This window comes from Homo sapiens, chromosome 8, assembly GCF_000001405.40.
Source record: "Homo sapiens chromosome 8, GRCh38.p14 Primary Assembly".
Taxonomy (NCBI): Eukaryota; Metazoa; Chordata; class Mammalia; order Primates; family Hominidae; genus Homo; species Homo sapiens.
The window spans coordinates 47,986,983-48,002,866 of record NC_000008.11 but is presented as its reverse complement, the minus strand read 5'-3'; the positions used below and the strand labels follow the sequence as shown (position 1 = coordinate 48,002,866).

At 47.2% G+C, this 15,884-nt stretch overlaps 1 protein-coding gene and 1 long non-coding RNA gene across 5 annotated transcripts in view, besides 1 other annotated feature; one reads left to right on the top strand and one right to left on the bottom strand.

The window, feature by feature from the left end:
- The window catches only part of UBE2V2 (ubiquitin conjugating enzyme E2 V2), a 67,272-nt gene extending 61,842 nt beyond the window's left edge, over positions 1–5,430 (bottom strand). The window contains exon 1 of one of the 2 annotated variants that reach the window (XM_017013808.3): positions 5,319–5,430. In XM_017013808.3, the coding sequence (XP_016869297.2) occupies positions 5,319–5,415 (97 nt within the window). In that variant the 5' untranslated portion in view covers positions 5,416–5,430. Of the gene's footprint in view, positions 1–4,464; positions 4,633–5,318 lie in introns of those variants that run through there. The other variant, XM_011517583.4, reaches the window with a different exon arrangement.
- Positions 3,938–13,839, top strand: UBE2V2-AS1 (UBE2V2 antisense RNA 1). Of its 3 annotated transcripts, XR_928850.3 has the most exons (4): positions 3,938–3,988; positions 4,224–4,317; positions 6,155–6,250; positions 13,209–13,839. It is a non-coding gene; the product is annotated as a UBE2V2 antisense RNA 1 (long non-coding RNA). The 3 variants fall into 3 exon arrangements; XR_928848.3 differs by having other exon boundaries at positions 3,938–4,317; XR_928851.3 differs by lacking the exon at positions 13,209–13,839 and adding an exon at positions 7,636–7,672 and having other exon boundaries at positions 3,938–4,317.
- Positions 5,647–6,146: an enhancer, noted in NCBI's record as "H3K4me1 hESC enhancer chr8:48909281-48909780 (GRCh37/hg19 assembly coordinates)". NCBI's record gives its function as "activates a minimal SCP1, AML or CMV promoter by ChIP-STARR-seq in primed H9 embryonic stem cells {active_cell/tissue: H9 hESC(primed)}" and the evidence as "EXISTENCE:reporter gene assay evidence [ECO:0000049][PMID:30033119]".
- Positions 13,840–15,884: the final 2,045 nt, after the last annotated feature.

The window sequence follows — 15,884 nt, the reverse complement described above, 5'->3', positions numbered from 1 at the left end:
AATCAACTTAATTAACATATGCATTACCATACGTATCATATTCTGGTAAGGACACTTAAAATCTATTCTCAGCCATTTGCAAGAATACAGTACGTTGTTATTAACTATAGATCTGAATTTATTCCTCCTATCTAACTGACATTTTGTATCCTTTGACCAACATCTCCCCAATCCCCCCACACCCTGGTAACCACTGTTTTTCCTTTCCTTTCCTTTTTCCTTTCCCCTCCCCTCCCCTTCTCCTCTCCTCTCAGTTTCACCATATTGCCCAGGCTAGTCTCCAACTCCTGAGGTCAAGCAATCTGCCCACCTCGGCTTCCCAAAGTGCTGGGATTACAGGTGTGAGCCACCATGCCTGGCCTCCATTCCTTACTTTTGAGTTGAAATTATTTTATATTCCACAAGTAAGTGAGATAATGTAATATTTATCTTTCTGTGCCTGGCTTATTTCACTTTAATATAAGGTCCTCCAGGTTCACCCACATTGTAACAAATGACTGTTTCTTTCTTTTTAAGACTGAGTAGTATTCTACTGTGTACATATATGCCACATTATCTTTATCCATTCATCCACTGATGGACACAAGTCAATTCTGTATCTTGAGGCTATTGTGAATAATATTTGCAGTGGTTTGAATGTGTCCCCCAAAGATCAAGTGTGGGAAACAATCCCCAATGCAACAATGTTAAGAGGTACGACCTTTAATTAATTATTAGATCATAAGCCTCTGCTTCTTTTTGGAATGTCTTTTTGGATCTGTTGCCCTTTTTTTTTTTCTGAGTCGGAGTTTCACTCGTTTCCCAGGCTGGCATGCAATAGCGCAATCTCAGCTCACTGCAACCTCCACCTCCTGGGTTCAAGCGATTCTCCTGCCTCAGCCTTCCAAGCAGCTGGGATTACAGGCATGCGCCACCACGTCCGGCTCATTTTGTATTTTTAGTAGAGATGGGGTTTCACTATGTTGGTCAGGCTGGTCTCAAACTCCTGACCTCAAGTGATCCACCCGCCTTGGACTCCCACAGTGCTGGGATTACAGGCATGAGCCACTGTGCTGAGCCTGTTGCCCATTTTTAAATCAGGTTATTTGCTTTCTTGCTTTTGAGTTGTTTGAGTTCCTTATATATTTTTGATATTAAGCTCTTTTCAGATGTATGGTTTGCAAATATTTTCTCCCATTCTGTGGGTTGTTTTTTCTGGAGGACCAATTTTTCACTTGGCTTCAAAGCTACCACACTTTCATAGTGTTTTTTTGTTTTGTTTTGTTTTTGAGACAGGGTCTTACTCTGTTGCCCAGCCTGGAGTGCAGTGGCACCATCACAGCTCACTGCAGCCCTAACCTCCCAGGCTCAAGTGATCCTTCACTTCAGCCTCTTGAGTAGCTGGGACTACAGATACATGCCACAATGTCTGGCTAATCTGTTGTATTTTTTGTAGAGACAGGTTTCACCATGTTGCCCAGGCTCACCTCAAACTCTTGAGCTCAAGTGATCCGCCCACCTCGGTCTCCCAAAGTGCTAGGATTACAGGCATGTCCTAGTGTTTTAAAGGTAGTAGGTTTGGTCAGGAGGCAGGAGCAAGAGGAAAATGTGGGTAACAGCCTTAATTGTATTTTCCATGGGAAGGAACAGGAAAGGAATGACAAGCAGGCTTAGCATTGGCTGCTAAGCCAATGCTAAGCGGGCTCTGAGGCATAAGGGCTGTCCCTAATTGTCGGTTACTTTGTCCTTGAATGATTAAGTTGGGAAAATAGTGTCCAGAGTGTGAGAGCTCAATAATGAAGGTGGTGAGGGAGCGCACTCGGTTGGTTTGTATTTGAAAGGCTCAATCCACAAAGTGCTGTTTACTATCTCTAGGAATTAGCTAACACTGAGAGGGGCCATCCTTCAAGGGTCCACAAGGCCTCAAGTCGTCAATGCATCAAAATACAGAGAAACACCTGGTCCTTCTGCTACTTCACTTGCCATTTATTCTGAGTCTTCCTCTTCTACATGAATTCATAGTATTGAGGACTAGTTCTTTTTTTTTTTTTTTTTTTTTTTTTTTTGAGGCAAAGTCTCCCTCTGTTGCCCAGGCTGGAGTGCAGTGACGTGATCTCCACTCACTGCAGGCTCCGCCTCCTGGGTTCATGCCATTCTCCTGCCTCAGCCTCCCAAGTAGCTGGGACTACAGGTGCCCGCCTCCATACCCAGCTAATTTTTTTGTATTTTTAGTAGAGACAGGGTTTCACCATGTTAGCCAGGATGGTCTCTATCTCCTGACCTCGTGATCTGCCCACCTCGGCCTCCCAAAGTGCTGGGATTACAGGCATGAGCCACTGCACCCAGCCATTGAGGACTAGTTCTTAGTGGCCTTATCAGAGCCCCAGCAGCAGAGAGTGGTTGGCTTGCAGGTGGTAAAATAATTTACCAACAACAGTTTAGGTTTGAAAAGGAAAGTTATATTAGATAACACATTGCAGCAGACTGCAACAGGGCGCTTCGGCAAGAGAGGACTGAGCTGCACAGTGGATTTTACTTAGGAGTATTTATGGACCTTAAAGTGGGAGACTAAGGATAATTTGGACCATCTTAGCCACACATGTCATGATAAGTGATTACATCTGTAGACATTTTGGTGCCATGATGTCAGCAAGGGTTGCACAATGAGTTTCAACATGCATACATTCCAGAGACGTATAGAAATTCTAGTTAAGGGAGGAGACCACCCCTCATATTGTCTTATGCCCAATTTCTGCCTCCAAAGAAAGAAGATGTAAAAACTAAAAGGCAGAAATGAAATCCACAGGCAGACAGCCTGGTGCCATGGCCTGGGCCTGGTAGTTAAAGATCAACCCCTGACCTAACCGGTTATGTTATCTATAGATTCCAAACATTGTATGGAAAAGCATTGTGAAAATCCCTGTCCTGTTCTGTTCCATTCTGATTACTGGTGCATGCAAGCCCCCTGCTTGCTCAATCGATCACAACCCTTTCATGTGGACCCCCTTAGAGTTGTCAGCCCTTAAAAGGGACAGGAATTGCTCAATCGGGGAGCTCGGTTTTTGAGACGTGAGTCTGCCGATGCTCCCGACCGTATAAAGCTCCTTCCTTCTTTAACCCAGTGTCTGAGGAGTTTTGTCTGTGGCTCATCCTGCTACATACTTACTTATAAGTTTTTTGTAAAGAAGCTTGGTACCAGATGCTGGCTTTAGATAATAGGGAAGTCTGGGCTGGGCGCAGTGGCTCATGCCTGTAATCACAGCACTTTGGGAGGCCGAGGCATGCAGATCACAAGGTCAGGAGATCAAGACCATCCTGGCTAACATGGTGAAACCCCGTCTCTACTAAAAATACAAAAAAAAAATTAGCTGGGCATGGTGGAACATGCCTGTAATCCCAGCTACTCGGGAGGCTGAGGCAGGAGAATCACTTGAACCTGGGAGGCAGAGGTTGCAGTGAGCCAATATTGTGCCACTGCACTCCAGCCTGGCGACAGAGCAAGACTCCATCTCAAAAAAAAAAAAAGGGGAAGTCTAATTACTTATGAATTCCTCAGATAAGGAGTATTGCCTCTGGATGGTCCACTTGATAGCCACCAGGTGATCTTTGCTCTCCTCAGTTCTCAGTCCTTGGATATTGTTAGGGACAAACTGCCCAAAGAAAGCTTCTTTGGTGCTGCCCACCCCTCCCCCTAATGCTCTGCAACTCTTCTCTGTGCCACCCACCCTTCCCCAAGTCTCTTTACATTTCTAAGCCCTTATCAAGGGCCATGGTGAAGCCAGCCGACTTTCACTTATCAGACCTTGCTGCGATAAGCAAACCCCAATTACAAACCACTCAGACCGCATAGGGGAAGGTTGTGGGAAGCATAAACAAACTTTACCTACACCCTCCTGTAATAAACGTCACAAGGTGATATGTGGCAAAATTAACCAGCAAACAACCCCAGGATGCGGCCATACCAAAGAACTCCCTCAAGCTACTTTCCCCAATATAAACCCCTCATTCTGTAAGCTTGGTGCTGCTTCCCTTGACTGTTAAGGGGTCAGCCGGCAGGTTAATAAAAACTTGCTCGCCTGACTTTGGGTCTATTTTTCCTTTCTCTTGGCTGACCTTACATTCTGGTGCCGAAACCGGGAAGGGGATAGACTCTGGCCGGCTCTCGCTCTCTGTCTCTCTCTCTCTCACTCTCTCTTTCTCTCTCTCTCTCCCCCTCCCTCCCCTATCACCTATCTCCTGGCCAGTCTCTCCCCTTCCCTGAACCTGCCGAAGTCCCAGAGAATCTCCTAGACTCTCCCACTGCTGACGACTTCATCCACCATCAAAGCCTCCGCCAGGGTGAGTAAAAAGAGACTGTTGCTGTTCTCCGAAACCCTTGACCGCCTGTCTCTCAGTTTCCAAAAGACCCAGCCCTGGGTCAAGGGCTTCCTCCGGCCTCCAGGCTTCTGGTTCCTCTGTGTCAGGGACACCTGACACGGCGGTTACCTTCTCTATTCCAGACAAGTTCCCCAGGAAAGGGAACGCCCTCTTCCACGTCCTTGTCACCGGCAGTCTCTTCTTCTTCTACGTGCGCCCCTACTTCCATTCATAATAGGAGCCTTTCAGTCTGCTCCTTCTAAAACTACCTGCCTTGGGTGCCTCCTATGCAATCTCAATACTCTTGGCCTCCGTTCAGAAATCTGCCCTAAAAGGCTTATCTTTTACTGTAATACCGCGTGACCTCAATACAAATTAGACCATGACTCCCAATGGTCCGAAAATGGCACTTTCGATTCCAACGTGCTCAGAGACTTAAGACAACTTTTGTCACCGCAATGGGAAGTGGTCTGAGATTCCTTATGTTCTGGCTTTCTTTACTCTCTGTAGTCATCCTTCCCTCTGCCAGTCTTGCTCTACTTTTCAAATTATCCTCGCCCGCTCCAAACTCCACTCGCCTCCTGCTCCCCTCACCCCAATAGCCCCAGCCGATGACTTCGCCTCCTTTGATCCCACTGATTTTTCCCCTCCTTGACAACATCCTAATCCTCCACCAGAACAGCATGACCCCCCCACCGTATGCCTCCACTCCGGCTCTACCTCCGTCTCTCCAACCATCCCGCCTCCTACTCTGAGTCCTCCCCGTCTCCACCCCTTACTCGTCCTCGAGCCCAGCATGCCCAGCAGCCCGCTCCCTTGCTTCCTCTCCGGGAAGTGGCAGGGGCCAAAGGGATTGTCTGTGTCCACGTCCCCTTTTCCCTCTCTGATTTCTCCCAAACTGAGGAACGTCTGGGGTCCTTGTCCTCCCATCCCGACACTTATATGAAAGAATTTAAATATCTCACCCAGACTTATGAACTTACTTGGCATGATCTCTATATTATTCTGTATTCTACCCTCCTTCTGGATGAGAAGGAAACAATGTGACTTGCAGCCCAGGCCCATGCGGATGACTTCCATTGGCAAGATTTTACTGGCCAGTAGGGGCCGCTGCAGTCCCCCTGGGAAGAGCCTACCTGGGAATATTAACCCCCAGACACCAGCCGGGCCTCCCGTAATCATATGATTACTTGCCTCATTGCAGGCCTTAACAAAACTGCCCATAAGGGTGTACATTTCGAAAAACTCAAAGAAACCTCCCAAAAGGCCGATGAAAACCCTGCCCAATTCCTTTCTCGCCTTATAGAGGCTCTCCAAAAATATACCCATGTCAATCCTGCCTCCCAGGAAGGAACTATTGTTCTTAACACCCATTTTTTCCCCAATCTGCCCCCGACATCCAGCGCATATTTAAAAAGGCTGAAGATGGCCCTCAAACCCCACAACAAGACCTCCTTAACCTGGCTTTCAAAGTCTTTAATAGCAGGGATGAGCAAAATAAATTAGAGAAAGCCCAAAGAGATCGTGCTAAATACCAACTTCTAGCAGCGGCTATCCATCAACCCAGCCATATTACCCAAGGGCACAAAGACCTGATAGCAGCAAACCTCCTGGGCCTTGTTTTAAGTGTGGCAAAGAAGGCCACTGGGCATGGGCATGTCCTAACCCTCGAGTACCAAAGAGCCCTTGCCCAGTCTGCCAGCAGACAGGCCACTGGAAGTCCCTCTGTCCTCTCAGCAAACGGACAGACAAGCCTGCTCCTCAGAGCCACCACCCCTTCAGCAAGACAAAAAGTGAAGAATTGCTTGCACTCCCACAGCTCCTCGGCCTAGCCACTGAAGACTGACAAGGCCCAGGGCCCCTGGCCCCCACTGCCATCACTGCATGGAGCCCAGTGTAACTCTACTGGTAGCAGGTAAGCCGATCTCTTTTTTAATCGATAGCGGGGCCACCTACTGGGCTTTGCCTGAATTTTCAGGACCCACTCATGCCTCCCAGATCTCAGTTGTGGGGCTTGACGGACTCATCTCATGTTAGTCCACGCGCCACCAGACCCCTTACTTGCTCTCTGTTTGATACTGTTTTCTCACACTCTTTCCTTATCATGCCTCATTGCCCTACCCCCCATCCTAGGCCAAGACCTTTTAGCCAAATTCAAAGATTCTATCACCTTTTTCTGCCTTCCTCAACCAGAGTCCCTCCTACTCCTTTGCGCTAGTCTGGCCCCTGAGCCCTCTCCCCAGTACCCACTTCCCACCTCTCTTGTAAACCCAATAGTATGGGACACCACCACCCCTTCCCTAGCTGCTCACCGTGACCCCATCAAAATCCAGTTAAAAGACCCCTCTAAATTTCTCAATGTCCCCCCAATATCCCATCTCCCTAACCCACCAAAAAGGCTCACAGCCAGTCACAAGCTCTGCTCACGCAGTCTTCTTAGGCCAACACATTTTCCATATAACACCCCCATCCTCTTGGTTAAAATATCAGATGGCTCATACCAACTCATCCAAGACCTCCAAGCCATCAATCAGGCCATCCTTCCTATTCATCCCATAGTCCCTAACCCCTATACACTTCTCTCTTTCATTCCCTCCAACACTACCCACTACACTGCTATTGACCTGAAAGATGCCTTTTTAACTATTCCCCTTCACCCTGATTCCCAAAACCTCTTTGCTTTTACCTGGACTGACCCTGACACCCTCCAGTCACAACAACTCACCTGGACTGTCCTCCCTCAAGTCTTCAGAGATAGCCCTCATTTCTTTAGACAAGTTTTAGCTTGAAATCTCACCTCCTTAAACCTTTCCCCCAGCTGTCTTCTTCATTACGTGGACGAACTTCTCCTTTGCAGCCCCTCTCTAGAAGACTCTCAAACCCACACAGTCTCTCTCTTAAACTTTCTTGCCACCAAAGGGTATAGAGTCTCCCCCTCCAAAGCTCAATTTTCCAGCTCCGTAGTAACTTACCTAAGAGTTCAACTTTCCTCTGGGGACCAGGCTATGACCCTGCCCAAGAGGCACTAATAGATAATCTGCCCCCGCCCCACCAAAAGGAAACTCCTTTCCTTCCTAGGACTAGCGGGCTTTTTTAGAATATGGATTCCCAACTTTGCCCTCCTAGCTCACCCCCTGTATGAAGCAGCCAAAGGCCCCCTCAATGAGCCCCTAAATCCCTCACATAACATATTCCCCATCTTCCGCAAACTTCAAACTGCTCTTGTCACTGCACCAGCTCTGTCCTTACCTGATATCTCCCAACCTTTCACTCTCTCCTTTTTTTTTTTTTTTTTTTCAGAAGGAGTCTTGCTCTGTCGCCCAGGCTGGAGTGCGGTGGCGCGATCTTGGCTCACTGCAAGCTCTGCCTCCCAGGTTCAAGCCATTCTCCTGCCTCAGCCTCCCAAATGGCTGGGACTACAGGCACCCGCCACCATGCCCGGCTAATTTTTTGTATTTTTAGTAGAGATGGGGTTTCACTGTGTTAGCCAGGATGGTCTCGATCTCCTGACCTCATGATCCACCCGCCTTGGCCTCCCAAAGTGCTGGGATTACAGGTGTGAGCTGCCGCACCCAGCCCAACCTTTCACTCTCTATACTGCTGAAAGCTGAGGAATAGCCCTTGGTGTCTTAGGGCAACAGAAAGGAGACCCTCCTTCCTTTGCCCCTGTAGCCTACCTCTCTAAACAATTAGGCAACACAGTCGGAGGATGGCCAACCTGTCTTAGAGCGCTAGCAGCAGCAGCCGCTTTAGCTCTAGAAAGCAGGAAACTAACATTTAGTCAAAATACCACCATCTATAGTCCTCATAATCTACAGGATCTCCTCTCCTCCCGAGAATTAGGCTCCCTTCCTCCTTCCCAGATTCAGTTACTTCATGCCCTCTTTTGTTACGGGAAGTCAGGGACCCTGAATGGAGGGACTGACTGGAGCCAAGGCAGAAGAACATAAATTGTAAAGATTTCGTGGACATTTATCAGTTCCTAAAATTAATACTTTTATAATTTCTTATGCCTGTCTTTACTGCAGTCTCTGAACATAAATTGTGAAGATTTCATGGACATTTATCAGTTCTCAAAATTAATACTTTTATAATTTCTTATGCCTGTCTTTACTGCAGTCTCTGAACATAAATTGTGAAGATTTCATGGACATTTATCACTTCCCCAATCAATACTCATAATTTCTTATGCCTGTCTTTACTTTAATCTCTTATTCCTGTTATCTTCATAAGCTGAGAATGTATGTCACCTCAGGACCACTATTGTACAAATTGATTGTAAAATATGTGTGTTGAATAATATGAAATCAGCACACCCTGAAAAAGAACAGAATAACAGTGATTTTCAGGGAACAAGGAAAGATAACCATAAGGTCTAACTGCCTGTGGGGTCGGGCAGAACAGAGCCATATTTTTCTTCTTGCAGAGAGCCTCTAGACGGACATATGAGTAGGAGAATTATTGCCGAATTCTTTTCCCAGCAAGAAATATTAATAATTGAGACCCTGGGGAAGGAATGCATTCCTGGGGGTAGGTCTATAGATGGCTGCTCTGGGAGTGTCTGTCTTATGCGATTGAGATAAGGACTGAAATACACCCTGGTCTCCTGCAGTACCCTCAGGCTTACTAGGATTGGGAAATTCCAGCCTGGTAAATTCTAGTCAGACCGGTTGTCTGCTCTCGAACCCTGTTTCCTGTTAAGATGTTTATCAAGACAATGTATGAACAGCGGGACATAGGCCCTCATCAGTAATTCTAATTTTGCCTTGCCTTGTGACCTTTATTGCCCTCTGAAGCACGTGATCTTTGTGACTTACTCCCTGTTCATACACCCCTTCCCCTTTTAAAATCCCTAATAAAAACTTGCTGGTTTTGTGGCTCGGGGTTGCCATCACTGTGTTCTACCAATATGTGATGACACCCCCGGAGGCCCAGCTGTAAAATTTCTCTCTTTGTACTCTTTCACTTTATTTCTCAGACCAGCCGACACTTAGGGAAAATAGAAAGAACCTACATTGAAATATCGGGGGCTGGTTCCCCCGATACTCTTTATCAAAAATCCCAAATTCAGTCTCGCCAAAAGTGCTCACCTCACCCAGCATCCTTACTCCCTGTATCTTCTTCCCCTCCTACTCATTCTTGCACTGACATCCAAGATCACCTGCAGCCATACTTTCCCAACATTTCCTCCAAGCCTCTCACCAACCCTGACGACCAGCTATTTATAGATGGCTCCTCTTCCTGTCCCACTTGCTCCCCCAAAATTGCTGGGTATGCAGTTGTTTCCCTTGACCAAGTAACTGAAGCTAAGCCCCTACCTCCAGGAACCTCCTCTCAAAAAGCTGAACTCATAGCTCTCAACAGAGCCCTAACCGTTTCCAAAGGCAGACGAGTCAATATTTACACAGACTCCAAATATGCCTATCACATTCTTCATTCCCACGCCACCATCTGGCAAGAGACGGGATTTCTCACTGCCAAAGGGACCCCTATCACTAACGGCTCCCTTATTTACCAACTCCTTCAGGCCACTAGGATTACTCAGACTTACTAGGCTTACATCTCCCAACTGAGGCAGGAGTTATACACTGTCAGGGACATCAAATGGGACAGATAAAATCTCAGGAGGGAACATAGAGGCTGATGAGGCAGCAAAAGAAGCCTCCCTTTCTTCCGCTCCTGCCTCCCTCCTCCTCATTACCCCTGCAATCCAACCTCAATACTCCCCTACTGAGAAGGCCTTATTACTGCAACAAGGAACCTTCCTCCAGGGGGACTGCCTAGTTAAGGACCAGAAGCTAGTTCTTCCCCAGGGACAAACCGACAAAATCCTGACATCCCTCCACCAATCCTTCCATACTGGTGCATGTCCCCTGTATCTCCTCCTCCACCCATATTTCTTCTTCCCTCACCTATTCACCTCACTAAAAAACATAACTTCAAATTGTCATATATGCTCTGTCACCTCCTCTCAAGGAGCCCTCCATTCCCCATCTATTCCTGCACACCAGCTAAGAGGAATACTCCCAGGGGAACACTGGCAAATAGACTTCACCCACATGCCTCCTGTCAAAAACACAAGATTCCTTCTCACTCTTATAGACACCTTCTCTGGGTGGGTGGAGGCATTTCCTACCTCTTCAGAAAAAGCCGCAGTAGTCTCCCAGATCCTCATCACAGAAATCATCCCTAGGTTTAGTCTCCCTTGCTCCATTCAATCAGACAATGGCCCTGCCTTCATTTCCCAAATCACCCAACAGGTCTCCCAGCCCCTTGGCGTCCACTGGTGCCTCCATATCCCATATTGACCCCAGTCATTAGGAAAAGTCAAAAGGGCAAATGGAATCCTTAAAACTCAGTTGACCAAACTCACTCTAGAAGTCCAGAGGCCCTGGACTTCCCTCCTACCCATAGCTCTAGCCCGCATCAGAGCCAACCCAAAAGCACCCTCCTTCCTCAGCCCATTTGAATTAATGTATGGATGCCCTTTCCTCTTACAAAACAGGCCTCCTTCTGATTTTCAATTAGGAGAATACCTCCCAACACTCTCCCTCATCTGCCATCTCCTCCGCAAACAGGCAGACCAGGCCCTCCCAAAACTGAATAAACTCCCCACTGACCACAGCCTCCTACCAGGAGAACATGTTTTCCTAAAAGCCCTTAACCCAACCAGCCTTTAACCAAAAGGGGAAGGCACTTTCCAGGTCATCCTTACAACCCCTACTGCAGCCAAACTCTCAGGACATACCTCCTGGTATCACCTTTCCAGGTTAAAGAGAGCTCCCACCTCCAATCTACTGACCTGCACTTCACCAACTTCTAATCGGTATTCCAGCACATTCCTCGGGCCAAACTGAGTCTGCCTCACATCCATCCCAGAAGAAACTTCACATCAGTAAATCCATCCATCTCAAACAGGTTTAAACTACTATTACAACTAGCCTCCTTTAATGGAAACACTCTATTACACCTTAATTGCAGGCATTATAGTACTTACCCTGTATAGTGCAATTCCTTTCGATTGGAATACCAGCCAAAAACCCTCCCTCACTTTAGCCTTCTGCCTAATTGTTATCCGTATAGCAGGAATCACAATCACTAACAAACAAACATTCCCACATCCTCCCTAGATGCCCTGCTTTTGTCTATCCTGCTGCTTCACTCTCTTCCTCACTCCCTCTCACAAGATATTTCCTAGTTCCGCCCATGGAACAACACCCTGGAAGCCTTTTTTGAGTGGATAACCGACCTTTTCTTCCAAGGCTCTCTATGGCTTCACTCTGGTGAAACCGAACTATTTACTTTTCTGCTCACTCTCTTCCTTTCTAACCCATCTCAGAATCAATACCCCAACCCTTCTTTCAGCCCAACCAATACCTATAACCCCTGAACACCTATACAGAACACTTAGTCTCACACACTCCTTACTAAAAAACTCCAATTCCTCCCTGGCAAGAGACTGCTGGCTCTGCGTATCCCTCTTCTCCACAACATACAATGCAATCCCTGCCTCAGCCTATAACTGGACTTCCACCCAAGTAACCTACCATCCCGAAATCCTCATTAACAGCCGCCTCGAACTCGACATGCCGGCATTAACAGAAATCTCCCCCAACTTAGCTAGCGAGTTCTGGCTCTTACAACCTTACATCCCTACTTACGCAACGTATCCCCCTACCACAGCCATGATAAACCCATATTAGGAGCCATAACAACCCACACAATCTTATCCTATGCAGCACCACTGGGCGTCCAATGACATCTACCCTCTGGCATTCCCCTCGGCAACCTGAATTCCAAACTGTGCAACTATACCCTACGACTCAAACCTTCCACTGAACATACTACTCTCAAAGCTGCCAACAATAAAGACAGGCTTCATTTCTCTAGCCCCCCCTGGCCCTTGACACCTCCCACCTCCTTAATAAAAATTCAGAGTACTGTAATGGCTGACACTTCCCCTGTTTATCCCTCTTCCCTTGGCTGCCCTCTCCATGCACCATCCCTGCACCCATCACCTGCGACTGTCTCCTTATCCCAACATTCAGCAACACTCCCACATGGATCTTAGTGGACACAAAATGCTTCCTTTTACACAAGGAAAAAGAACCCAAAAGCCTCCCGGACTAAACCAAACACCCCTTTACAACCACTTACACCAGCAGCCCTAGCCAGGACCCTAGGAGTATGGATGCATGAGAATAACAAAATAATACATCTTTTTAGCACACACAATCAGTTCTGTCTACCAAGCTAAGGTATACTTTTCCTATGTGGTACCTCAACTTATATTTGCCTCCCTTCTAACTGGACGGGCACCTGCACCCTGGTTTTCCTCAGTCCAAAAATCAATGTTGCCCAGGAGACCAACCCCTACCAATACCCCTATCCGACACTGCCGTGCTATACAATTCATACCTCTATTAGTAGCCCTTGGAATAACTACAGGAGTTGGAACTGGGATTATGGGATTAACCATCTCCATTTCCTATTACCAATCCCTCTCCAAAGACCTCACAGATAGCTTGGAAGAGATAGCCAAATACTCTCCAATCACAAATAGATTCTTTAGCGGTGGTGGTTCTTCAAAACCGCAGAGGCTTACACCTACTCACAGCCGAAAAAGAAGGACTATGCCTTTTTCTAGATGAACAGTGTTGCTTTTATCTTAACCAATCTGGCTTAGTATAAGATGCTGTAAAAATATAAAGGACCGAGCACAAAAAATTAAAGAAAACATCCTGCGATGGCCAGCGTGGCCCTCCCAGTCCTTTAGTAGCTGGTTTCCATGGCTAATGCCCGTCCTAGGCCCAGCCATAACCATTCATCTTTTTCTAGCATTCAGCCCTTGTCTCCTATGCCTTCTCACCCAGTTTTTACAGGACCCTATCAGCGCTTTCACCCACGGGACAATACAAAATATGATGCTGCTCCAGGAATACCAGAGGCTCCAAGAACAGCAGTCCCTACCGTCCAGCCTTCCCCGACAACTGTCGCCCTCTCCCAGTAAGAAGCAGCCAGATGATAACAGCACCCCTCTTCCATTACCTATTAAAAGTCTGGCATGAGAGGGACAACTGCCCCGAGAAAGCTTCTTTGTGCTGCCCACCCCTCCCCCAATGCTCTGCAATTCTTCTCCATGCCGCCCACCCTTCCCCAAGCCTCTTTACGTTTCTAAGCCCTTATGTAGTCGCTACGGTGAAGCCAACAGACTTCACTTATCAGACCTTGCTGCGATAAGCAAACCCCAATAACAAACCATCCAGACCGCACAGGGGGAGGTTGTGGGAAGCACAAACAAACTTTACTACACCCTCCTGTAATAAATGTCACAAGGTGATATGTGGCAAAATTAACCAGCAAACAACCCTGGGATGCAACCATACCAAAAAACTCCCTCAAACTTCCCTCCCCAATATAAACCCCTCATTCTGTAAGCTTGGTGCTGCTTCCCTTGACTATTAAGGGGGCAGCCGACAGGTTAATAAAAACTTGCTCACCTGACTTTGGGTCTATTTTTCCTTTCTCTCGGCTGATCTTACAGATATCTTTTTATCTCTCTCTACATTCACTTGGTGATCACACAATTAGGCTCATCACTTTAAGTGGCATCCATTTTTTTTTTTTTATTGTTTGTTTGGTTTGAGATGGAGTTTCGCTCGTCGCCCAAGCTGGAGTGCAGTGGCACGATCTCGGCTCACTGCAGCCTCTGCCTCCCAGGTTCAAGCGATTCTCCCGCCTCAGCCTCCCAAGTAGCTGGGATTACAGGCATGCACCACTATGCCCCGCTAATTTTTGTATTTTTAGTACAGATGGGTTTTCACCATGTTGGCCAGGCTGGTCTCGAACCCCAGAACTCAGGTGATCTGCCCGCTTCGGCCTCCCAAAGTGCAGGGATTACAGGCGTGAGCCACTGCGCCTGGGCAGCATCCGTATATTTCCACTCCCAATTTCTTATCTGAAGCCCGAAACCCTCCCATAAATTCTATGCTCTAATATCTAACTGCCTACTCAGGTTAGCATCTAAAAGGCTGTGTATTAGATGTCTCAAATTTAATTCAACTCCTATATTCTTCCCCAACAGAGTTCTACTGGAAGCCTTTTCTTTTTCTTTTTCTTTTTCTTTTTTTTTTTTTTTTTGAGACAGAGTCTTGCACCGTCGCCCCGGCTGAGTGCAGTGGTGCGATCTCAGCTCCCTGCAACCTCCGCCTCTCGGGTTCAAGCGATTCTCCTGCCTCAGCCTCCCAAGTAATTGGTATTACAGGTCCCGCCACCACACCCAGCTAATTTTTTGTATTTTTAGTAGAGATGGGGTTTCACTATGTTGGTCAGGCTGATCTCAAACTCCTGACCTCGTGATCCGCCTGCCTCAGCCTCCTAAAGTCCTGGAATTACAGGTGTGAGCCGCTGTGCCCGGCCAGAAACCTTTTCTTTCTTAGTAAACAACAAATCCATTCTTGCTGAGGCCAAAATCCTTGGAGTCATCTGATTTTAATTGCTTTCCCATATACCAGCAATCATCAAGTAGAATCTGAAATTTAAAACAAAATACTGAAACTGCCTTTGCAAAAATCATAACTGAGAAATATTACAATGAAAGAGATCCATCTTGCTTCTAACCCCCAGGCTGTCATTGTTCATTCCTGGGCCTAGGTTGAACTAACTTTGGGAGGAACTTAGTTTATAGTTTAGCTTTGAAACAAAGACAACAACCCTTTCCCAAAACAAGCCTTCCTGGAGACTAGACTGCCTTTGCAGGACTAACAAATTAGCCACAGGATTAGAAATTACAGTTTAGGAGCCATACTGCTGGAGGCTGCAAGATTCTAAACCTCTCCAAATTGCTCCTAGGGATAACATCACTATTGCAAAACCTAAGATCAGTGCTTGAGATATTTTGCAGACACTGCACTTGATTCATCAGCTGGCACCAATCAGATCGATAAACTGGCTCATCTGGTCTTGTGGCCCCCACCCAGGAACTGACTTAGCAGTGACAAGAGGACAGCTTTGACTCCCATCTCTGACCCGACCAATCAGAACTCCCAACTCACTGGCCCCCTACTCAGCAAATTTTTTTTTTTTTTTTTTGGAGACAGAGTTTTACTCTGTCGCCCACGGTGGAGTGCAGTGGCATGATGTCGGCTCACTACAACCTCTACCCCCCGGGTTCAAGCAATTCTCCTGCCTCAGCCTCCCGAGTAGCTGGGACTACAGGCGCACGCTGCCATGCCCAGCTAATTTTTTGTATTTTAGTAGAGACGTGGTTTCACGTGTTGCGCAGGCTGTTCTCAAACTCCTGAACTCAGGCAATCCGCCCGCCTCGGCCTCCCAAAGTGCTAGGATTACAGGCATGAGCCACCGCACCAGGCAGCAAATTATTCTTAAAAACTCCAATTCTCGAATTCTCGGGGAGACCGATTGGAGTAATAATAAAACTCTGGGCCAGACACGGTGGCTCACACCTGTAGTCCCAGCACTTTGGGAGGCTGAAGCAGGTGGATCACCTGAGGTCAGGAGTTCAAGAACCAGACTGGCCAACATGGTGA